Genomic DNA, 25401 nt, shown 5'->3' on the forward strand with positions numbered 1-25401 from the left:
ATCTCCTGACCTCGTGATCCGCCCGCCTTGGCCTCCCAAAGTGCTGGGATTACAGGCGTGAGCCACCGCACCTGGCCTAAATCTTTGTTTTTAACTCACATTTCATGGGTGGCTCTCTCATAGGTTACTACCATCAACTCAATTGGCTGTGGGCTGAGGAATTATAAAAGCATATTATTCAGATACAAACATAATTTGGACTTACACTTTTGGTCAAATAGCTGCAGTTACTCTAGACATGAGTCTACCTGCCAAGGAATGCCAAAGATTGCCAACAACCAGCAAAAGCTAGCAAAGAGGTATCAAGCAGATTCTTCCTTATAGCCTTCATAAAAAGCCAACCCTACTGACAACCTCAATTTCAGATTTCTAGTCTCTAGGACTATGAGATGATTAATTTTTGTTTAAGCCACTTGGTTTGTGATACTTTGTTAAAGCAGCCCTAGAAACTAATATAGCCCAACCTGGTAGAATCTCATACACAGGCAATCCAACAGTTTTCTAAAAGTTTTGGCTACTAGTCAACTCAGCTAGGAAGAAGAAGTAGACTTCTTGTGATCTATTTATCTTGTATCCAACTAGACCCAAAAAGAAAAGGATGTTACATACAGAAGCTGAAACTACCAGTACTTTAGAAACAGTGTCCAAGAAAGTCTATATTTAACATTTGCGTGTATCTTTATGAACATACACACACACAACACCTTTTGCTGATGACTCCATTATAGGCTAGTGATATCATTTCACTATCACTGAGGACTCCATCATGGGATAGTGATATCACTTCATTTGGGTCAGAGCTAAAGAATTAAACTAAATTGTACATAATCAAATACCATGTGAATTTGTAGGCTTAATTTTTATTCAAATTAGCTACAATAACCCTACAACTAATAAACTAGCTGTTCTAAAAAAAAAAAAAAAAAAAAACACATGCAATTTAGCCATTTGGAAACAATAGTGACCATCCCTGCCTGTCTCCATAGACAACAACAGCAACTACCCAGGAGTAGTTACAGTAAAATTAGGAGAGCATTAGGCTGGCTGATGAAAACAGGGAAGGGCTGAAGAGCCATCCTTGGGCCTTCACTCCTCCACCTGCCTCCATCTCCAAAGTCCAGGTTACAAACCAGAGAGATTGTCTCCTCCAATGCTGCTTTGTTCAGGAGCTTCAGGGTGATATAGTTGTTTAATTAAACGAAATTTTCCCTGAGGTTGCCTCTGTGCTTGAGTCCTTATGCAACAAACTGCAAGCTAACCCAGTGTGTAAACTAACAGCATGATTATGAATAGAATATACACTTGTAACAGATAGCTGTGTCTCAGTCAATTACAGCAGCTGAGCTTCAGTCAATTGCGGGTGGCTGACTGATTCAAATAAGACGAAACATCCAGCTGTACCCAGTTGTAACCAACAAAGCTGTTTCTGGACCTCACTTCCGTTTTCTGTCCATAATGCTGTCTGGCCACATTGCCAGCTTTTGCCAGCTTGCAGTTCTCAGAACTTGTTCTCGTTCTAAAAGCTTCCCAACTCACGAATCATTCTTGCACTATTAAACTCTGTTAAATTTACCTTGTCTAAAGTTTTTCCTTTTCACAACCCAGAGGAGTTGCCTGGTCAGTGTTTCATGGTTCCTGAGACTCTCTACCCTGGGGCACATCACTTCTCTTCATTTTAAACTTACTGACAATGACACGGCTTACGTCCTAGATTTCAGTGAGACTGACTATATAATTCCTGCCCAAACCAGGACACTTTTGAAAGGAAAAAGTGGGTGCTATTAATAATTATGTTGCAAGAACAGCAGCAGACTTTGTCCTTCAGTCCTTCTCCAGTACAAATGACCAGACAGAGTAGCCAACAACCACACAAAATCTGAGTTCACAAACCAACATGATTAGATACCTGAGGAATACAACTACTGAAAAAGAAATACAACAAGCTGAACAACAGCATACCAACTGTAGCAAAACTACTGGAACACACTGACCAAGATTTTAAAGTAAGCATGACAAATATTCTTAAGGATAAGAGGACACAAAGGAAGATGTTGAAACATGAAATGAGAATGGGAGTTGTAAGAAAAAATAAAAGAGAAAGCCTTAACTGTAAAAGTATGACTGTCAAAAAATATAAATTGTTGAGGGATAAATAGTAGTTTGGATACATGTGAAAAGCTAATTAATTTAGAGTTAGAAGGTTAGATTGAGAAAATTGAGGAACTTACCCAGAAAATAGTAGAAAAGAATAAAGAGAACATACTAAAGAAAAGAAGAATGTTATGGAGGATAAAAACAGCTATCTAACATCTAGAATATGGAAATCTAAGAAGAAATGAAAACTAAAACTGCAAAATGTGAAAATTTATGATGATAAATTTCCCAGAATTCAAGAAAGAAGAAATAAATCAGCTTTAAGTATCTAATGGAGACAAAGAGAAAATTCTAACACCTTCTAGAAAGAGCAAAAGACCTATGAGGGCACAAGGACAGACCAACATCATAGCTCTCCGTACCATAAAGAAAGCTTCCACAGGATAAAGTCCACAGGATCAATATCATATTGCTGTTCTCTGAATATATTGTAATATGATTAGCTTTTTTAAAAAAACCCACATTTGAAACTAAATTATACATTACTGAATACCTCTTATGTTAAAAGGGAAATCACGAAATATTTTAAATACTAAGAACTGATTGATAATAACATGACAAAGTTTGTAGGATACAATGAAGCAATATTTAGAAGAAAATTTACTGATATATAAGCATTAATAAGAAGTCAAGATGGTTAAAAGCAAAGAGTACACATTTAAGTAGAAAGGTTGGAAAAGAAGCACAGGGCAAAGTCTATGGAGTAATAAGGAAGCAAAACATAAGGAGGTAAGCATAAGTCACTGAACTGGAGAAGAAAAAACCGTGGAGAAGATTAACAAAACAAAAGTGTGTCTCTTTGAAAAGATTACTACAATAGACCTGTGGCAATAATAATCAAGAACAAACAGAGTGAATATCCAAATACAATGTACAAGAAGGGAGCATAACTATAACACAACTAAAAGTTTTTAAAATGAGATTATTCAATTATATGTTAATAAATGTGAAAACTTGGATGGAATGGAAAAATTCCTAGACAAATATAAAACACTAACATTAGTGCAAGAAAATATATTTATATAGAAATAGAATACTCAAGTAACAAAGAAATCAACCTAGTATTTAAAGGCTTTCCCTCTCCCAAACACCACAGGGCCCACATAGGTATTTTTCAAAATTTTTTAGAATATTGACATACTTACTACAAAATCTATGTCAACATATAAAGGCTCCATTAATAACTAATTGTGGTAATAAAAAAAGGTGTAGGGATGCCATAAGTATCAATGGAGCAAAATATTGAGCTCAGAGATAAACCTATGTAGATATATGTCATTGATGATGATTATATAAACAAGGAAAAAGGATGAACTGTTTCATAGGTGGTATTTGGAAAATCAGCCTACCATTGGGAGAAAAATGAAACCAAATCCCTACCTAACACCATATTTAAGGGTAAACTCTAAGTAGATTAAAAGCATTAAATGTGTAAATTAAAACTATGAGGATTAGAAATTACCTTTGTAGACTGAAAGTGGGAAAATTTCAAACTTCAAAAGTAAAATAATAAGGCAAAAAGTTCTGTCATGAAGAGAATGAAGAACAACAATGCCAAAGCTAACAGGCAGATGACCTATTGGAGAACATAACTTCAATGTCTAAAACTGACATGAAGGATGATTTGAATACATAAAGCGATAGTCCAAACTTTTGAATGGGATTCCATGCATCTGAGTCTGTTTAGTGTTGCCATAAGGGATACCTGAGGCTGGGTAATTTATAAAGAAAAGAGGTTTATTTGGCTCACAGTTGTGTGCTGCACAAGAAGCCTGATGCCAACATCTGCTTCTGAGGCTGCTCCCATTTATGGTGGAAGATAGACGAAGGGGAACTGACACGTGCAGAGATCAAATGGCAAGAGGGAAAGCAAGGTGGGGGAAGCCACTGGTCTCTTTTTAAACCAACAGCTCTTGCAAGAACTAATAGACTGAGTACTCACTCACCCTCACTCCCAGGGAGGGAATTAATCTATTCATCTTCCAAACACCTTCCATTAGGCCCCACCTCCAACATTGGGGATCAAATTTCAACATGCGGTTTGGGGGTACAAACCTCCAAACAATAGCACCACGTTTTTAATGTTACTAAAAAGAGTGAATTCTTGCTATATTGTTTACAAATGTAACATAATCACTTTGAAAATTAAACATAATTTTAAAAGAAATTTGATGAACTTATTCTAAAATATAAAATATTCAAAAACAACACATGTAAATTAACAAGACAAAGACAGGAACACTAGTGGAAAAATGGGCTAAGTTCATGAATGGACCATTACAGAAGAAATCCCAAATGCTATAAGAACATAAAATGATGCTCAAATTCATAAGTTATCACATAAATTCAAAGTAAAACATAATGCAATATGTTACCATCTATTAGATTGATTATATAAATTGGAAAGTTTGATTATGTCAAGTGTTGTTGTGAATGTGTATGTGTAGGAACCATCATGCATTACTGATGAGATGCAGACTGGTGTAACCATTGGGAGAGCAATAGGCAGTATTCAGTCAAATTTAAAATGTGCAGTCTCATGGCCCATCAAGTCCTGTTTCATATTCCTACAGAACTACTCAAACAGGTCTATAGGGGTCTGGCATAAGGATAATAATTTGGCGGCAGTCTTTGCGAAGGCAAATGGTAGGAAGCAATATATGTGTTCCTCACTAGGGGATGCATGCTGTGGAATTTTTCATACCAGTTAAAAGCAACAACAAAAGGTATGCACAAGAAGAATAATCTTATGTTACTAAGCAAAAAACTAACAAAATGAGATACAACTTAATACCATTTAAGTAAATTTAAAAACATATAGGCAAAACAACAATACATAGTTTACAGAACACATATAAATGTATATACTGTATATTAAACATATGAAAATTGTTGCATATATGCATATATCTGTATATGTCAATATGTATATCTGTACTCTCATCTAGGTATTAAAAAGGCCTACAAGTAGCAATGAGCCAATGGCAATGAGCATACCAAATGCAGAATATTGGTTTCTAAAGGGCATCAGGTTCTTTGGGTAAACGGCTGATTCCAGGGCTGGGGAAATGCTCAAAAAGTGATGGGAACATGTCAAGCCAAAGGAACACAGGGGCTAGCTTTTAGGGGGTCCCACTGGCCAAATATGGGACCTTTTAAACATCAAAATAAATAATGACAGGAAGGATTGTAATTCATTGAAATAATGTAAGAATTTATAAGTTCATAGTAATAGTGAATAAATAGGGGTAGGAATAGCTCTCCTTATAATAGAATGATACTTATTAAACACAGAAAAACCACTTTTTTTAAAAAAAAAATCACCATTTTGTAATGATCACAGTTAAACTGATTCACATAAAAATCAATGAATGCTAAAACTAGTGCATGAAAGTTTTATGTGGAACAGGATACTGAACATTGAAGATAGTTCTAACATAGACTGAAAGTATCTCCCCCCAAAGTGGATATTAATTAGAAACTGAATAATATTTACTTGTTAGTGAATAAATCTGGCAATACCTCTCAACCACAATAGAGATATGAACCATAAAACAGTGTAATATTCAATAGAGGAGTTACTTAATCTGAAAGTGGTATTCAAATCCCTCATCTACCCTTTAAAAGGCCATGAAATTATTTCCTGTCATCTCATATAAAAGACGTTGTAATATTCTAAGAGCTTGCATTTAGGTTGTCTCTGAAAAGAGTCTGATGAATAACTTGACAATAAGAAAGTGAATGCTGAGATTTTAGAGTGAATAGACATTTTAATCTCATAGTCTACTTTTTGTTAACTAACTCACCCCTCTCACACTTCAAAAATATCTAAAAGTAGCTGTTAGACATTCTATTAAGTCCTCCTGGTGAAAATGGAAATGTTGGGAGATTCCATCTTTACATCATCTTCCTATATCCCACTTTTAAACATTTTTGGCATTGAAACTTATTCTTCAAATGAACTTTTAGATATCACACATGCTTAGTAAACTTCAAATCTGCAAGTGGTGAATAGATAATCTGCACAGGAAACATTTTTTTTTTTTTGAGACAGAGTTTTGCTCTGTTGTCCAGGCTGCAGTGCAGTGGCGCTGTCTCAGCTCACTGCAACCTCTGCCTCCTGGATTCAAGTGATCCTTCTGCCTCAGCCTCCCGAGTAGCTGGGACTACAGGCATGCACCACCATGCCCAGCTAATTTTTGTATTTTTAGTAGAGACAGGGTTTTACCATATTGGCTAGGCTGGTCTTGAACTCCTGACCTCGTGGTCCACCTGCCTCAGCCTCCCAAAGTGCTGGGATTACAGGCTTCAGCCACCATGCCCAGCCAGAAAACACTTTTGACAAACACACCAGCATTTCCTTTTGTAGAATCCTTGGGCCATATTAAGGGTATTGTTAAGCTGGCATCTCATAAAGTGTACAGAATAAAACACTAATTTGGGGAGATGTTAAAAGGGAATAGTAACAACAGCAGCAGCGCTTGTTTTATTTAAATGTAGAAAATTAATTCAAACTATAAAAAAAATTTTGGTGACTATATTGGTAATCTTACGATAAGAAATAACTTTCTGAGTATAACACACACAGCATCGGTTATAAAAGTACCAATTATATTTGAACACATGAAGCTTATTATAAAGCTCTATGTAAGGTTGCTGTATTTTACTTCAAACATCAAATGCAAAAATATATTAGAGATTTGCCACATGGAGTGGTGATATGACCAATTTATTTGAACAACAAAATTCCTTGAATCTAAAAGATATGGTAAATATGACTTAGCTTACTTAAGACCTAACTTTTTAGAAAGAATTTTAGAATCAGTGTCCAGAAAACTATTTTCCCATGAATAATTCTGAGACTGAATTTCACAAACCTGAATTCCTCCCATCTCCAGTATCTATTATGTCATCACCTTTCATTGTTGACTCCAGCACAGATTTCTGATGTCAATTCATTGGGGTCAGTGCAAAGGATTGAAAGGTAAATAGCAAGAAACAACATAAATGCATACACGACTTTTTTTGTTGTTGTTGTTCAAATTGGCTATGATTGCGCTACAAATTACAATGTGTTGTCCCTAAAAATTCTCATGTAAATCTATTATTTGGCACCTGGTACTTCATTTTTCTCTGGAAAGAAGTCTTTATGTGTTGGTAATAAAAATTGTTTAGGACTCTCAAAAAAGTTTAATGAATCAGGATTTAAATACAATTCTTTATTACTGAACCAGATCATGTGTGGCAGCAAATTTAACTTAAATTTGCTTCAAATTCATTCCCATTTGTAGGCACACGTTATTCTTGCCCATTTTGATTTCCTAATTATCAAGTCCCTCCACCACCTTCATGCTCTTCATGAGTCACAGATATCTTTGCTTCCCCTCAAATAGGATCAAGTGACTAAACCTGAGGCAGGGGCTCCATCCAATGTGATGATGGCTTTGAGTTTGGGGCACCAGCTCTGAAGGGTGAGGGACAGATACAGGGTCTCTTAGCTCCTTTCTTGCTGCTGAGGGCTCCTTTGCTGCCTGTCCAATGCTACCACCTTCTTTCTCCAAGCAGGATTCTCTCCTCTCTTGGACCACTCTTGAGAGAGTATCATACACAGGCATTCTGATAGTTTCCTAAGGTTTTGGCTGCTAATTACTTGGGGTCACAAACAATCTTTGAGTACCAAGCATCCCTCTTCTGACCTGATCTTATTTTCTCCACTCTGGTTCAAAAACAATGTTACCAAAGATGCTTAAAGTCTCTGATTGAAAGCTGTTATTGCCATTGATGCTCCCAGTATTTTTCACCACTTAGATCAGTCAACTCACCCATTGTGGTCATAGTTGTCAGAGCATATAGTAGAATCTGTTAGTGAATCCATAACTCTACCAAAGAGTAAAAAGCCCATACAAAAAATAAAGTCAGATATTTTGGAAGGCAATCAGGATGTTAATCTCAACAGTATTTCAGGACACAAAAAATAAAATCGGAGGAATTTTGACAAGAACTAAAGAAACAATTTCAGGATACAGCACCAGTACTTCTGAGAGTGTGTGTGTGTGTGTGTGTGTGTGTGTGTGTGTGTGTCTGTGTGTGAGAGAGAGAGAGAAAGGACACAGAAAAAAGAAAGAAAATGTAAGAATAATGAATGTTTCTATATCAATGGCTAGTTCCCGGTCACCCTTGGTAGGAAATAAACAAGTAGGTAAGTCAAGCATAGCCTTAATTATGTTTAAAACATTTTGTGAACTTAAAGTGGATTATGTGTTTACAATGATTTTGTTTTCTTTTTGTCTGGATTCATTTTTTTAAAGTTATATGGCTATATTTTACAATATCAAGACTTCCTAGCACCGAAACCCCTGGCTTGGCTAATTTAATCTCTCTGCAACTTTATTTCTTCATCTGTAAGTTAAGACACATGCAAAATACACTCCACATCTGTCAACTTCATAAAACCATGCTGAATATTCAGCATTTTGCCAATATTGGTTTTTAGACAACCTGCTCTCTACACCGTATATTATGCCATAAAAATCAGTATGTGGCAATATGAACATACATATTTTTAGTTTCAAATACACAAACATTCTCCTCAAGGTAATACACTCCCAAGACTCAAGAATTAATGCTCTTTGCCACAATTTTCTAACTTTTCAAACGTTTAAATAAGTTTAAGAAACTGATCACATACATTTTTTTGCTGCTGATAAAAACTGGGATTCTCTAAGAGTGTGCTGAGGTTTCTTAACTTATTTGACCACAGAACCTCTTTCTCACAATGGAAATGTGTGAGAAACACATTTTGGAAACAATATATTAAATGGTATCTTTTTATGTCTTTAAGAAAAGTTCTCCTACACAAACTAATTTTGGACTCTGATCAATAGCTCAAACCTTTAAGCACAGATAGACATTAATATTGTGCTAATCTTTCAGCCTGTGGGGAAAGGAGTGCCAGAGTTCAAATGACCAAATCTCGTTAGCCTGGTCTGAGAGCCATGAGGGGAACCTTTCAAGTTCTAAGTGGGTGTTCTCATGTCCTTGAATGGCTCCTGGAAATTCATCCAGGTCTCAGGAAAAACAATACCTTTTACAAGAAGAAAGGCATCTATAGGCATCCGCTACTTTTCAGCAGGATGAATAATTGGATTGTTTATGAAGAATACATGAATAAATCATAACAAGGGAAAATGTTCAAAACACCAAAAAGGTAAGAATTTGAGTTTCTGACATAAGCAGCCTTATTAAATGATTACTAGATTTTTCAGACATCCTCTACTGAGGAAGAGAACTGGAAGACATTCAAATTACTCCAGATTCAGGTGACAAGCCAGGATTGCTAAGCAAGTTCCTTGGGAAACTAATCTCCAAAAAGGGCATGAGACATCCATAGATGTGAACTCCTTTCAGGGAGAGTATTGCATGAAGTCTGAAATAATACTTTGATAAGCTGCTTTGGGGCACAGAATGACTTCCCTCATGGGACATGACTAAGTAGCTAGCTAAATTGCCCTCTAAGGAAGGTGAGAATTGCAAACTGTCCTAAACTGAAGTGGTCATGCAGAATTCTTAAATGCTTTTTGGTAGATAGGAGCAACCACAGAAGTTTGAGTTAGGTGGAGGTTAGCTACACCTTTATAATCATGCTACCAGGTTATAATGAAAAGTACGTCTCCGACCAAATCTGCCACACATACAGTTATTCATTTAACAAAACATTCAGTAGCAAGCAGGCACAGTACATAAGCTTCTGCAAGCTTTCTGCACTTTAGGTGCTCCAAGCATGAAAGCTTCATTCTCAACAGATTCCTAATGTTTCAGAGGCCAAAATCTTCTTAAACCTTCCTGGAGATAGGATCATATGAGGATCAAGCATTGGGTGTCATCTCTAAATATGAGGCCACCACCATACACCTTTATCCTGTTTATGCAAGGGTGGGCTGTCTCCAAAACACTTTAGTTGATTCACAGATCTTAAAATGTCATATAATTGTAACATCCATCATGCTGCTTTGTAAGCCACCAATTTCACTAATAAAAACCCATTTGTGATCTTCACTGTAATAATTAACAATGTTTCAGGTGTTAATTGCAATGGGACCACTGGGGCCCTTTTGGTGGCCATCTCTGTGGAGTGGCTTCCTGAGCTGAACACTAGCTCACCATCCTTGAACAGAGCATTCACCATTAGGGCAACCAGCCGCCCCTGTAGGAAAGATTAAAGTGACCAGTATATGCATATTATCACACTGCCTAAAATGTCGTATTTTTAAGGACATTAACAGGCATAGAATGAGGCTTGGTTTGTTTTTTAAATTTTTTCTATTTCTACTATTTTTCTATCTAATTATTTTTCTATTTTTATTTGCTGGGTCACAGACAACAGCAAATTCCATACCTTCGGAGTTATACCAGCTCATCTGCAGTAGGAGTAGAAATATCAAAGCTCTCAGTCTACCACCTTGTGCTCCACAGATGTGGCCCAAGCACATCTTTGGACGTGAACCAGGGCAACCCAAGGCAGAGCTGGATTTCTGGGAGTTTCTCCCTGTAAGCCCTGGACCTGCTTACCTACAGATGAGACTGCTTCCAGCGCCACTGCCAGTCAGAAGAGCCTGGGGTCTGTTCGGCTGCCAGAATAACACAAGTCTGAGGTTTTGTGTTATTGGTACAACATTCTCTAAGAGGGAGAAATTTAATCAAGATCCTGTTAGCAGTTTTCTCACTTGTTGCCTTTCAAGATTATGGCTTTTCCTTTTTTCATTTTTTAGTTCCCAAAACCAAGCTTGTTAAATCAAATCTTGACCCAATTCCTGGCAAGTAACAAGGTTATTGCTATTTGGCCTTACACCCACTGGTTGTCCCCCAGTACCCTGAGGGTAAGGGGACTCTGTAAGGTCCCTGGGAGGGGAAAGGAATGTCAGTTAGTGGTCCTTCCAGCTGGGTATAAGCAAACTTTCCTGTCTATGGGCCCCAGAGACCACCATCTAGTTCCCCCGCCAAAACTTTACATGATTTTAATTCTCCTGATGAGGATGAGAGGACAGCATTAGCCAACAGAGAGGGCAGAGGATGGGATGGGACTCCCTTGCTCAGAGACCTCACCTCTAGGTTTTTACCTCGTATTGAGAATAAGTCAGTTCTGTAATAAGAACTCTGCGTCCATGGCAACCCCAAACAGAATCCTGGTGCTTTTGTGATTGTTGTAGAGTGGGGAATAGAACGAGCTTGGCCCAAGACTGCAGAGACTTAAAAACATACTGTTCTGCCATACATACAGATACTCATTAAAGATGAGGGAGAAGGGCATGGGGTGGGGGAGAATGTACCAAAATCAAAGACCACAGGATAATAACCTCAGAGCAGAGATTATCTCTCCAGTTATTTTTTCTTTTATATGAAATGGAGGGGATTCTTCTTATTTACTCTGATGAAGAAGTTTACATCAAGTGTTCAGCTTCCTTTGTGGGTTAGAGAGAATAACCAGAGGGCTCAGTTATCCTCTCTGAATAACTATGTTTGTTTAATGTTTACTAGACAATATTAAAATTCACTAAAATAGACAAAGTTGATAGGACTTGGGGGGATACCTCATTGACTCAAGCTATCATTTTATAGGATTGTGAGAAAACAAATAGTTGTACATTTAAAATACACTCATATTCTAGCTAGAAGAGAGGATTTTGAATATTCTTACATCAAAGAAATGGTAAATGTTTAAGGCAATGGATATGCTAATTACCATGATTTGATCATTATGCAATGTAAAATGTACTGAAACATCACATTGTACCTCATAAATATGTACAATTTATTATGTGTCAATTAAAATTTTGAGTATAAGAAAAAATAAACTTCAATTGTAAGAAAACAACCCAACTTTTAAAAAATGGGCAAAATATGTGAACAGATACTTCACTAATGAAGATTTGCAACTGGCAAATAAGCAAATGAAAAAATGTTCATCATCACTAGCTGTTAGAGAAATGCAGATTAAAACTACAATAAGAAACCATTAGATACCTATTAGAATATCTAAAATTTGAAAGATGGCATGTTGACAAAGATAGAGAGAAACTGAAACTCTCATACAATGCCAGGAATGTAAAGTGCTAGATCCACTTTGGAAAACAGTTTGACAGTTTCTTAAGAAGTTAATTAGGTCTTCCAGTTCCCACTCCAACATGTAGAGAACTTGGAAGTCATCACTCCCATCTTCACAACGGAAAAAAAGATAATCAAACTGAAAATCAACAACTTTTCTTAGATCTGTCCAAGAATAGAGGTCACAGGGAAACCACTTCCTCAAAAACTAGAGAGATGGGTGACTATAGAAAATCACAGTTTACCTGAGAGCAGAAGCCACAGAGCCAGTAATTGGTAGGAACACTTCAATGGTAATCAATAAATTTACTGGTGGCTGAGTGTGGACTAGCTTGAAAGTTAAAAACTTGTTGGAGTCCCGTCTTGGGGGCCCCTTATACTTTCATGAATTTTACTTGCAGAAACCCCACCAGGTTCTCATGATGAAGGCTGAAGAAAATTTCCTCAGGCTCTTTACACAAGGCAAAGGGAAAAGCAACCATTTCAAAATATACCCTAATTGGAGGATAGAGAGAGTGAGTGGGTATAGCAACCATTTTGAAATATGCCCAGAGCATTCTATTCTCTGTGTGAAAGACCTGCTCTAAAGAAAAACTGCTGTATCAGGGCCTTGTCTGACATAGGGGAAAACCAGTGAGACAACTCTAAACCCCTCTAGCTTTCCTGTTCCACATAAAAGGAAAGGAAAAAAAAAGAAATCATTACTAATTCAATATCATAAAAAATGTACACCTATGTTTTTGTCTAAGAGCATAGTTTTGGATCTTACATTTAGATATTTCTTCCATTTCAAGTTAATTTTTCTGTATGATGTGAGAAAGAGATCTAACTTCATTCATTTGTATGTGGAGATCCAGTTGCTCCAGCACCACTTGCTGAAGAGACTGTTTTTTCCACTCAATAGTCTTGGTACCCTTGTGGAAAATCAATTGACCTTAAATGTACGGACTTACTTCTGGACTCTCAACTCTGTTCCATTGATCTACATATCTATCCTTATTCTAGTACTACACAATTTTAACCACTATAGCTTTATAGTAAGTTTTGAAATAATAAAGTGTGGACTCTGCAACTTCACTGTTCTTCTTCAAGATTGTTTTGGTTATTCAGAGTCCCTTGCATTTTCAAATGAATCTTAGATCAGCAAGTCAATTTCTACAAAAAGAGAAGCTAGGATTTTGATAGGAACTGAGTTGAATATGTAGATCAATTTGTGGAGTGCTGTCATCTTAATAGTAATGTCTTCCATTCAATAAATACAGAATGTGTATCCATTTATTTAGGTCTTAATCACTTTCAATAATGTTTTGTAGTCTTACATTTCTTTTGTTTTGGTCTTATTTTTTAATGCTATTGTAAATAAAATTACTTTCTTAATTTCATTTTGAGCCTACTCATTGCTAATGTTTCTAAATATAACTAATTTTTTGCACATTGATCTTATATCTTTTGTGAACTCAATTGTTGCTCCAGCAGGTTTGTTGTTGTTGTGGGTTCCTTAGATTTTCTATATACAACATTATTTATCTGCAAAAAAATAGAGTTTCACTTTTTCCATTCCAATCTAGATGCTTTTTATTTCTTTTCTGTGGTTGGTTTTGTTTTGTTTTGTTTTTTGTCTAATTATCCTGGCTAGAATCTCCAGTACAATGTTGAACAGAAAAAGCAAGCAGGTATCCTTGTCTTGTTTCTCATCTTAGGAGAAAAGATGTAAAACTTTCACCACTAAGTTTAATGTTAGCTGTTGGTTTTTCATAATCTTTACCAGATTATCTAAGAGTTTAGGTTTTTTGTTGTTGTTGTTGTTATTTACCTAAGTTATTTACCACATTTTTGAGTTCTTTTCTTTTTTTTCTTGATCAGGCTAGCTAAGCTATCAATTTTGTTGATCTTTTCACATAACTTTTGGTTTTGTTTATTTTCTCTATTGTTTTTCTGCTTGCTATTTTATTTTCACTCTAACATTTATTATATCCTTGCTTTACTTGCTTTGGTTTCAGTTTGCCCTTCTTCTAGTTTCTTTAGGTAGAAAGTTAAATTATTTATTGAGATCTTTCTTCCATCCTAATGTAAGAATTTACACCTATAAATTTCCCTTTAAGCATGGCATTAGCTGCATTCCATAAGTTTTGAGATGTGGAATTTTTGTTTTCATTTATCTCAAAATATGTTCTGATTTCTCTTGGATTTCTTCTATGACCAATTGATTATTTAAGAGTACATTGTTTCATTTCCATATATTGGTGAATTTCCCAAATTTCCTTCTCTTACTATTCTAACCTCATTTTATTGTAGTTGAGAACATGCTTTGTATGATTTAAATCTTTTAAAATTTATTGAGAGTTGTTTTATTGCCTAGCATATGGTCTTTCCTGGGGAATGTTCCATGTGCACTTATAAAGACTGTATACTCTGTTGTTGCTGGGGGATGGAGAATGCTATAGATATCTGTTAAATCTAGTTGGTTTATAGTATTATTCAAGTCTTACATTTTCTTATTGATTTTCTGCCCAATTGTCTAGCTATTAATGAAAGTGGGGAATTGAAGTCCTCAACTATTATTGTTGAATTGTTTCTCCCTTCAATTCTGTCAATTTTTTCTTCATGTACTTTGGGGCTCTGTTATATGTTTTTGATGGATTGATCCTCTTATTATTATAAAATGTCCTTTGTTTTTAATAAAAATTTTTGCCTTTAAGTCTGTTTTTTTTCTGCTTTTTTATCATGATTCCATCTCTTTATTTAGTTAGTTAGTTTTTTGGTTACTGTTTGCTTGTTATATCTTTTTCTATACTTTTAATCTATTTGCATCTTGGTCTAAAACAAGTCTCTTATAGACAGCATAGAGTAGGATCATGTCCTTTAATTCATTCTGCAAATTTCTTCCTTTTAAATGGAGAGAAATTCCCATTTAATACAATCATTGATAAAGTAAGATTTATGCTAAATAGTTTTATACTGTACAATTTTTATTTCTTTGTCATTTCTTTTACTACGTTTTTGAGTTGTTTTCTTAGTGGTTGCCCTGGATATTGCAATTAACATGTTGATTTATAACTATGTAGTTCATATTAATACCAACTTAATTACAACAGTATACATAAACTTTTTCCTATGTAGCTCCATTCCCTCTCTCTTCCATTGTGCTGTTAATGCCTTATAAACCATATCTTCATATACTCTATGTTCATCAACCCATTTATGAGAATTGCTTTATGCTTATACTGCCTTTTATATTTACTCATATAGTTATCTTTCTCAGCTCTTTATTTCCTCATGTGGATTTGAGTTACTACCTAGTATTCTTTCCTTTCAGTCTAAATGACTCCCATTAGTATTTCTTATAGAGATGTCTTCAAGCAACAAATTTTTTTAGTTTTGTTTACCGAGGAATGTCTTAAATGTCCTAAGATACTTAATGCCTTATGTTTCTCCTTCAATGTTGAAGGATATTTTTGCTACATATAGAATTCTTGATTAATAAGTCTCATTAGACCCTTAGTAGCCATCTTGATTATCACACCAACTGTCATGGCATCACAGGGGTGGTATACAAGTAAACCTTATTTCACTTCATAATTGGCCCAATATGCAATGGTAATTATCCTGGCAATTTGGATATGCCAGAGAGAAGCCACAGTGTGCTTCCTTTAAGTGAAAAGGTGAAAGTCTCTGACATAATAAGAAAAGAAAAATATTATAGGCTGAGGTTGCTAACATTTACAGTAAGGAAAAATCCTCCACTCACAAAATTGTGAAGAAGAACAAAGAAATTTGTGCCAGTTTTGCTGTCAAAAGCTGCAAAAGTTACAGCTACAGTGCATGATAAGTACTTAGTAGAGATGGAAAAGACATTAAATTTGTAGGTGGAAGACATGAACAGAAATGTCTTCTGACAGCAAGCAGGTTTAGTACTCTCAGCATTTGTTTTTTTCTTTGTTTTCTTTTGTTTTCCTTACTTTTTTTTTCTTTTTTTTTTTTTTTTTCTTTTAGATGGAGTCTCGCTACATCACCCAGGCTGAAGTGCAGTGGTGTGATCTCGGCTCACTACAAGCTCTGCCTCCCAGGTTCACGCCATTCTCCTGCCTCAGCCTCCCGAGTAGCTAGGACTACAGGCACCCGCCACCATGTCAAGCTAATTTTTTTGTATTTTTTTTAGTAGAGACAGGGTTTCACCACATTAGCAAGGATGGTCTCGATCTCCTGACCTCATGATCCACCCGCCTCAGCCTCCCAAAGTGCTGGAATTACAGGCATGAGCCACTGCACCCAGCCTTTGTTTACATTTTTTGTTAGCATATTGTGTATCTCAACTTATCTATACCCCAGGTAGCCATTATGTTCAGCAATTGCCTCTGATTGTCTTCAACAAATATGAACAAAGGCTGGGGGAGCTCTAAGTCAGGCCAAATAAAGATAGCCTTGTGCATGGGGTCTTCCTTGGACCTCCTAGTCAGGTCACGTAATGACGTTTCTCTGGGAATAAGGCTTTGAATGAGTCCCAACCCCATTTTGTTCCTTTCTATGGCTCCCAGGAGCTTGTTTTTCACCAAGATTGTAGGATGTTGGTTTTCAAGGCTACCATGGAGCTGGAAGGATATAATGAACATAAAGTAAGAACACTACAAAGCTCACTATTCCCACCAAAATTCAGCTTACATTCTTGAATAAATGCTCCCAAGATTGCAGCAAGCCTTTGGATATTTTCAGAGATCTGAAAAGTTGCTTTTATTTTTCCTAGCTGCTTTTATGAATAAAGGAATTTTTGAAGGTTCCTAGCTTGCCATTTTTAGTGACATCACTTCCAAATACACTTTTATTTTTATTTTTTATTTATTTTTTTGAAACAGAGTCTCGCTCTGTTGCCCATGCTGGAGTGCAGTGGTGCGATCTTGGCTCACTGCAACCTCTGCCTCCCAAGTTCAAGTGATTCTCCTGCCTCAGCCTCCCTAGTAGCTGGGATTACAGGTGCATGCCACCATGCCCAGCTAAGTTTTGTATTTTTAGTAGAGACGGGGTTTCACCATGTTGGTCAGGCTGGTCTCAAACTCCTGACCTCAGGTTATCGTCCCACCTCAGCCTCCCAAAGGGATTACAGGCATGAGCTACCATGCCCAGCCCCAAATACACTTTTAAATATATTTCTGAACTCGCAAAATGTGAAGGAAGTACAAAATGATTACACACATGCACACACAATCTAGAGGTGAAACTAAAGTCATCAGTCAACATAGAAGCCAGAGATGCCCTGGAAGTGTGCCAAAACCAAAAACCTAGAGCTTTGTTAGTTAACATTGTGGCTGCCTGCGGTAGCAAATAGGAATCGGGGCAATGAATAGGAACGTCAAAATACTTTCTTTTTTAAAAAGCTGGGAATGAGATGTCAATAGGGGACTTTGAAATGCTCTGACACATTCCTGGGAATCTGTTCAGCAATGCTGGGGATCTAGAATTTTTCTGGTTAACTGACTAATAGGATTTAAACCTGACAAAGTAGGGAACTGAGTCTGAGACCTCCATATAAATCCAGGGACCAAAATCTGCTATATATTTAGTAGAAAAGACAAAGTTGGAAGGATATGACAAGTGAACCAATAAGCAAATCAGTCTGCAGGCAGTAGATTTTAAAACATTAATAATTTTAAGTCTTCCCTAATGTTTTCTAACCAGCTTTACTCTTAGGCTGGAATTTGAATTTACACCATATTCATAGTCCAAGAAACCTCAAACCAATAAATCAAACTAGAATGGTTCCTGATTGGTAGTACTTCCAGAACCAAGCAGAAACCAGGCAAATCATCTCAATTCCAGTCTCTCAGGATACCCAAAGTTAAAGTTTATACAAATATGAGCTATTTCTAAAATTTAACAGAGTTGAAGAGTCAAACTGCCATAAGCAGGAGTCAACAGAAACCATAAAGAGAAGAAAAAGACATAGAAAAATACAAATATTAAAATTATAACAAACTTTATACTCAGGAAGCAGGTTTAAAAGTATGTTTAAAGTGAAAAAATAGAGATCAACACTATGGGGAGCATTAAAAGTGGCCCTTGGTCCACTCTGGAACTTCAAAGTAGGTTTTCTGAAAAAGATGATGCTTGAGCTTGGGCGTGAAGGACAATAAATAATAAACCAGGAGAAAAAGTGGGGAGCGAGTTTCAGAGAAAAAGATCATAATGAACAAATACATGGAAGCACTGAATAGCAGAGGGACTTCAGGGGAAATTATAAACATTTACCTATTACTGCAGTAACAAATGTAGAGCAGGGAGTAACAGGAGATGCCTGCACAGTATATTAAGAAGTACAGACATTATTTCATAGGCAATAGAGAGTCAAAAAGGGATTTTAAGAATGGAAGTCTCATGATAATTTTGTTTTATGTAGCCTGTCTTTCAGTGGTGAGGAGAGAGGGCAACATTGAAGTTTCAGGGATCAGTTAGGAGGCTACTACACAGCTTAGGTGAGAGATGTTGAGGGCCTGAAAAACCAGGGTGGTAGTAAGAATTGAGAGGAGAGACAGATTTGAGAAACAGCAGAAAAAATTAGTACAACTTGTGATTGACTAGCTATGTGGAGGATAGCCAAAGCAATCCTGCACAAAAAGAATGAAGCTGGAGATGCCACACTACCTGACTTCAAACCATCTACAAGGCTACAGTGAGCAAAACAGCATGGCACTGGTACAAAAACAGACACACAGGCCAATGGAACAGGTTAGAGAACCCAGAAATAAAGCTGCACAGCTACAACCATCTGATCTTCGACAAAGCCAACAAAAACAAGCAATGGAGAAAGGACTTCCTACTCAACAAATGGTGCTGGGATAACTGACTAGCCATATGCAGAAGATTGAAACTGGACCCCTTCCTTTCACCACAAACAAAAATCAACCCATGATGGATAAAAGGCTTAAATGTAAAACCTAAAACTATAAAATCCCTGGAAGATAAGCTAGGAAATACCATTCTGACATAGGACCTTATGAAGATTTCATGATGAAGATGCCAAAAGCAATTGCAACAAAAACAAAAACAGACAAGTGGAACCTAATTAAAGAGCTTCTGCACAGCAAAAGAAACTATCAACAGATTGAACAGACAGCCTACAGAATGGGAAAAAATATTTACAGATTATGCATCTGACAAGGTTCTAGTATCCAGAATCTATAAGGAACTGAAACAAATTTACAAGCAAAAAACAACCTCACTAAAAAAAAAGGAGGGGGCAAAGGACAGGAACAGACACTTCTCAAAAGACATACACACAGCTAACAAACATGAAAAAATGCTCAACATCACTAATACTAGAGAAATGCAAATCAAAACTACAATGAGATACCATCTCATACCAGTCAGAATAGCTATTATTAAAAAGCCAAAAAATAGATGCTGGCAAAGTTACAGAGGAAAGGGAATGCTTATACACTACTGGTGGATATGTAAATTAGTTCAGCCATTATGGAAAGCAGTTTGGTGATTTCTCAAAGAACTTGAGAATTACCCTGTGACCCAGCAATCCCATTACTGAGTATATACCCACAGGAATATAAATATCATTCTACCATGAAGACACATGCACACATATGTTCATCGCAGCACTATTCACAATAGCAAAGACACAGAATTTAGCTAGGTGCCCATCAATGGTGAACTGAATTTAAAAAATGTGGCACACATATACCATGGAATACTATGCAGCCATAAAATAAAAACAAGATCATGTCCTTTGCAGCAATCCAGCCTAAAAGCCTAAAAGCCTGGAGGCCATCCAGCTCCAGCTTAAAAATTATTCTAAGCAAACTAACACAGGAACAGGAAACCAAATACCTCATGTTCTCACTTATAAGTGGGAGTTAAACATTGAGTACACATGGGCACAAATATGGGAACAACAGACATTGGGGCCTACTTGAGGGTTGGAGGCTGGAGGATGGTGAGTATCAAAAAGCTACCTATCAGGTACTATGCTTATCACCTGAGTGACAAAACAATCTGTGCATCAAACCCCCATGACACAAAATTTACATATATAACAAACCTGCACATGTACCCTTGAACCTAAAATAAAAGTTAAAAATTAATTAAATAAAATGTGCATACAAAAAAAACTGGATTTAGGCATGTCTATTTGTATATAAAAATGGAGCTATTGGCACAGTCATGAACCAACTGAATTATATCTCAGTATATCAAAATGGTTAATATTGATGTATAGGTAATCTCTTCTCAATAAGAGAAGAGAAAATATTTCAGGTCAGATTTAGGATTTTACGTGAAATTATTACTGCTGGAAAACCAACAGATTACATGTCAGATGGATCCCAGAAGACGTGTGAGGACTGACACAATGTGGAATAAACATTAAAAAAAGGCCGGGCGTGGTGGCTCATGCCTGTAATCCCAGCACTTTGGGAGGCTAAAGCAGGTGGATCACCTGAGGTCAGGAGTTCAAGACCAGCCTGGCCAACATGGCAAAACCGCATCTCTACAAAAATACCAGATACCAGAGGCTGGGAAGTGCGTGTCGGTTGGCAGGGAAGAGTGGTTGGTTAATACAGTTAGACAGAAGGAATAAGTTCTAATGTTCTATAGCAGAGTAGGGTGACTACAGTTAACAAAAATGTATTGTGTATTTCAAAATAGCTCTAAAAGAGGACTTGAAATGTTCCCAACATACAGAAATGACAAATACTCAAAGTGGCAGATACCTTTAATACCCTGATTGGTCATTACACATTCTATGCATGTAACAACATATCATCTGTACCCCATAAATATGTACAAATATTTGTCGTGTACCAATTAAAAATAAAATTAAAAACATAAAAATATAGTATATCTACACAATGGAGTATTATTCAGCATTAATACACTGCAAGTTGGATAAACCTTGAAAACATGCTACATGAGAGAAACAATGCATAAAAGATCACAAATTGGGCTGCGTGTGGTGGCTCACGCCTGTAATCCCAGCACTTTGGGAGACCAAGGCAGGCACATCACTTGAGCTCAAGAGTTCCAGACCAGCCTGGGCAACATGACAAAACCCATCTCAACAAAAAAAATTAGGCAGGTGTGGTGGTGCACCCCTGTGGTCCCAGCTACTGGCTACTCACAAGGCTGATACAGGATGAAGGCATCAGGGCAGTTTCATGGCTGGGATCAACTCTTCTGGGAGCAGGTCCTAGAAGGACTTGGTGTCCACATCCAGGTTATGGGTCCTGCAGAGAGCTTGGAATACTTAGCCCTCAATCTGTGTGGAGAAGCAGGGGCTGGCGCCTTGAGGACTTACTGTCCTTCTGACCAGTCCTGATGTTTCCAAGGCACTGGGGTTTCAGGACTGGATAAGACTGTTCTAAGGCCACAGTGTGGAAACTGCAGTGTGGCAACTGCAGTAAGTCACAGGCCAAATCCTCAACTCTGGCACTATCTAAAGTACCTTTCTTGGCCGGGTGCGGTGGCTCACACCTGTACTCTCAGCACTTTGGGAGGCTGAGGCAGGTGGATTACCTGAGGTCAGGAGTTCGAGACCAGCCTATCCTATGTGGTGAAACCCCTTCTCTACTAAAAAAAAATATAAAAAATTAGCTGGGCGTGGTGACAGACACCTGTAATCCCAGCTACTGAGGAGGCTGAGGCAGGAGAATCGCTTGAATCCAAGAGGCGGAGGCTGCAGTGAGCTGAGATTGCATGACTGCACTCCAGCCTAGGCAACAAGAGCGAAACTCCATCTCAAAAAAAAAAAAAGCCTATTTATATACTTATTTACTTCCAAAATTTGTTTTTTTGGAACATCACTCTTAGGATTTGCATAACAAATAGTGTGTGTATAAATTTACTAATTTTTATTTTATTTATAAGAACAACTCACTCTTAGCAGATAGGGCCATGAACACATCCTTATAACATAACAGGTATAGACAAGACTGTTTAAATCATGACCACTTTACTCCCGTAGTAAGTAGGTAGAGCAGGAATTCCTACAGAGGGAAATTATTCCTCCAGTTCTCGCTAGCTCAGACTTCCTTCGAGGCTGAATCATTGATATGACTCCTCCTTAAGTCTGCATGGTTATCCACCCATCTCAGTCCCCAGTAGAAAGAACAGACCTTGAATCTCAGAGACGGTTGGTGGCCACAAGTCCCTGAACTGCTACTTGGCTTCCCCAGTAAAAGCTCAGACTTGGCTGGGTGTGGTGGCTCACGCCTGTAATCCCAGCACTTTGGGAGGCTGAGGTGGGCGGATCACCTGAGGTCAGGAGTTCAAGACCAGCCTGGAAACATGGCAAAACCCTGTCTCTACTAAAAATAAAAAAATTAGCCAGGTGTGGTGGCATGTGCCTATAGTTCCAGCTACTCGGGAAGCTGAGGCAGGAGAATCACCTGAACCCAGAGGCGGGGGTTGCAGTGAGCCAAGATCGTGCCACTGTACTCCAGCCCCTGGGCAACACAGCAAGAATCTGTCTCAAAATAAATAAATAATTAATTAATTAATGAAAACTTGTTCTTGTAACCCAAGGCAACTGATAGGCTCATTTAGGCTCTGTCTTCCAGTGACAATGAGTTCTAGATGACAAGTCTCAAAGAGAAGAGCCCCTCTCATTGTCTGGGCCCCTGCCCTAAGCCTGCAGACTCAGGTTTGGTTCCCACTGATAAGAGAGACAGAGTTTCACCATGTTAGCCAGGCTGGTCTCCAACTCCTGACCTCAGGTGATCCGCCCGCCTCAGCCTCCCAAAGTGCTGAGATTACAGGCGTGAGCCACCATGCCCAGCTGGGTTCTTAGTTTTCAATATCTCAGAAAGCTAATTAGATCTTAATCTTATTTAAATCTCTTGATTTTACACAGTAATAATAGTGAACACATGGTAAAATTCAGCCCATCGAACTCAGAAACTTCATTTTAGGACAACATTTCAAACTCCTTTCCCATCCAGGCATTTTTCAGTAGCAGATATGTGGCATACCTGACTCCCTTCCCCTACTTTCTTCTCCTGATCCCTCTTGGTGAAGGTTTAGGGATTAGAGATGTACTCAGAGCCAGAGTTCAGCGGCCTAAATCACCAATCCTTGGATTACTACAAGCTCACCTAGAGTCTAAAAGAACAATTCTCCTTATGCCCTTTGTGATCCTGGAAACATTACTTCTCTCCTCAGTTGCTGTTTCTCACTTAGCATCTCATTTTGAAACTTTGTTTCTCTGTGGCCACTATGACATTTGCTCCACTGAGCTTTCTGGCTTTAATTTTTGCCCCCTCAATCAGCTCCAAAAAGCCCTACTGAAGTAGCCCCAGAAACTCACATTGCTATTCCACTCTTTAATGATTTCTCATCTAAATATTAACTACCACTCCAACATTCCTGCATTTGTGGTCATCTTGTCAGCACATCTTGCTGAACCTAAATGAAGAAATTCATATTCCTTTTACTCCAGATTATCCATACAATTATTCTTAAAAGCCATCCTTGGGATATACTGAGGAAAGTACTTCACTATTGGAGTCTGCTGATCTAGGGTTTAAGTGCTGGCTGCACCACTTAGCAAATTTCAGAAAGGTATTAAATTCCTATAAATTGGAATAATGTCTACTTTATAAGGTGTTTCAAAAATTCAGTGATAATGTATGTGATATACACAGCACAGAGTCAGTCTGTCAAGCAGGACCCTGTCAGTGGTGGCTACGAAGATGACGGTAAGTACCCATGGGGTGCCGAAAACCGAGCAGTCACATCTACTGACCTCAGCCACCAAACACCAGCCCTTCCAGCTTCCCTGGATGCTTTGCTAACTGTGCATTTTTTGGGGATAATATGTGCTTCTCTCTTTGGCTCGAGAACAGAACACTCCTTCAAATGGTTGAAGTATCTTTATTATATACATGGTATGTGCTTTATCATATTAATTTTTTTTTGAGGCAGGGTCTCACTCTGTTGTCCAGGTTGGAGTGCAGTGGCATGATCGCAGATCACTGCCGCCTTGAACTCATGGGCTCAAGTGATCTTCCCACCTCAGCCTCCTGAGTAGCTGGGACCATAGGCGCACACCATTTGTTTTTAAGAGATGGGGTCTCACTATGTTGCCCAGGCTGGTCTCAAACTCCTGGGCTCAAGTGATCCTCCCACCTCGGCATCCCAATGTGTTGGGATTACAGATGTAGGCCACCTTGCCCGGCCCTAAATTTTTTTTCTTATGGTAAAATACACAAAAAATGTACCATCTTAACCATGTTTAAGTGTGCAATTCAGTGGTGTGAAGTACATTCGCATTGTTATGTAGCCATCTCTACTATCCATTCTCTGAACTTTTAAAAAAATTATCCCAAACAGAAAGTCTATACCCATTAAACACTAAGTCTCTATTCTCCCCTACCCCTATCCCCTGGAAACTAGTTTCTGTCTCTATGAATTTGCCTATTCTAGGTGTCTCACATAAGTGGATTCATATAATATTTGTTCTTCTGTGACTGGCTTATTTCACTTAGTATAATGTCCTCAAGGTTCATCTGTGTTGTAGCATATATAAGAATTGTACTTCTTTCAAGGCTGAATCATATTCCATTGTACATCTATACCTCATTTTGTTTATCCATTCATCCATGGATGAACATTTGAGTTGTTTCCACATTTTGGCTATTGTGACTTTATCCTGTTTTACATTCTGCAGCAATTTACATCTTTATTTTTAGAACTATTAAGTTTCCTCGTATTAATACTCATAGGAAAAGAGTCATGAAAGATTTTTATTTGATTTCATTTTTTGGTCATTTATCCTTTTTTTTTTGGCAGCCACAAAGACTGGGATTTCCAATTCTATGTTAAGTAGAAAATTTAAGTCATTTATCTTTTTTCTTCTGTTTCCTTTTCAAAGAAAGAAAATAGTATTTTTCTAAAATATGATCATGTCAGTTTGGTCTATTTTTACATGTGTTAAGGAGAGCAATAATAGACAAAATAATAACATAACAATTAGGTATTTAGTTAAAAAAAAAAAGTAAGCCAGGTGCAGTGGCTCACACCTGTAATCCCAGCACTTTGGGAGGCCAAGGCAGACAGATCACCTGAGGTCAGGAGGTCAAGACCAGCCTAGCCAACATGGTGAAACCCCATCTCTACTAAAAATACAAAAATTAGCCAGGCATGGTGGCA

General features: G+C 37.5%; 1 protein-coding gene across 6 annotated transcripts in view, besides 1 other annotated feature; it reads right to left on the reverse strand.

Annotated features, from left to right (window-relative positions):
- TPTE2 (transmembrane phosphoinositide 3-phosphatase and tensin homolog 2) overlaps positions 1 to 25401 on the reverse strand; it is a 138698-nt gene that overhangs the window by 83519 nt on the left and 29778 nt on the right. The window lies entirely within an intron of this gene.
- Positions 1345 to 1394: a silencer, noted in NCBI's record as "silent region_5137". NCBI's record gives its function as "represses an Ori minimal core promoter by ATAC-STARR-seq in GM12878 lymphoblastoid cells {active_cell/tissue: GM12878}" and the evidence as "EXISTENCE:reporter gene assay evidence [ECO:0000049][PMID:35858748]".

The sequence above is a fragment of the Homo sapiens genome, chromosome 13 (genome assembly GCF_000001405.40).
Source record: "Homo sapiens chromosome 13, GRCh38.p14 Primary Assembly".
NCBI classification, from domain to species: Eukaryota; Metazoa; Chordata; class Mammalia; order Primates; family Hominidae; genus Homo; species Homo sapiens.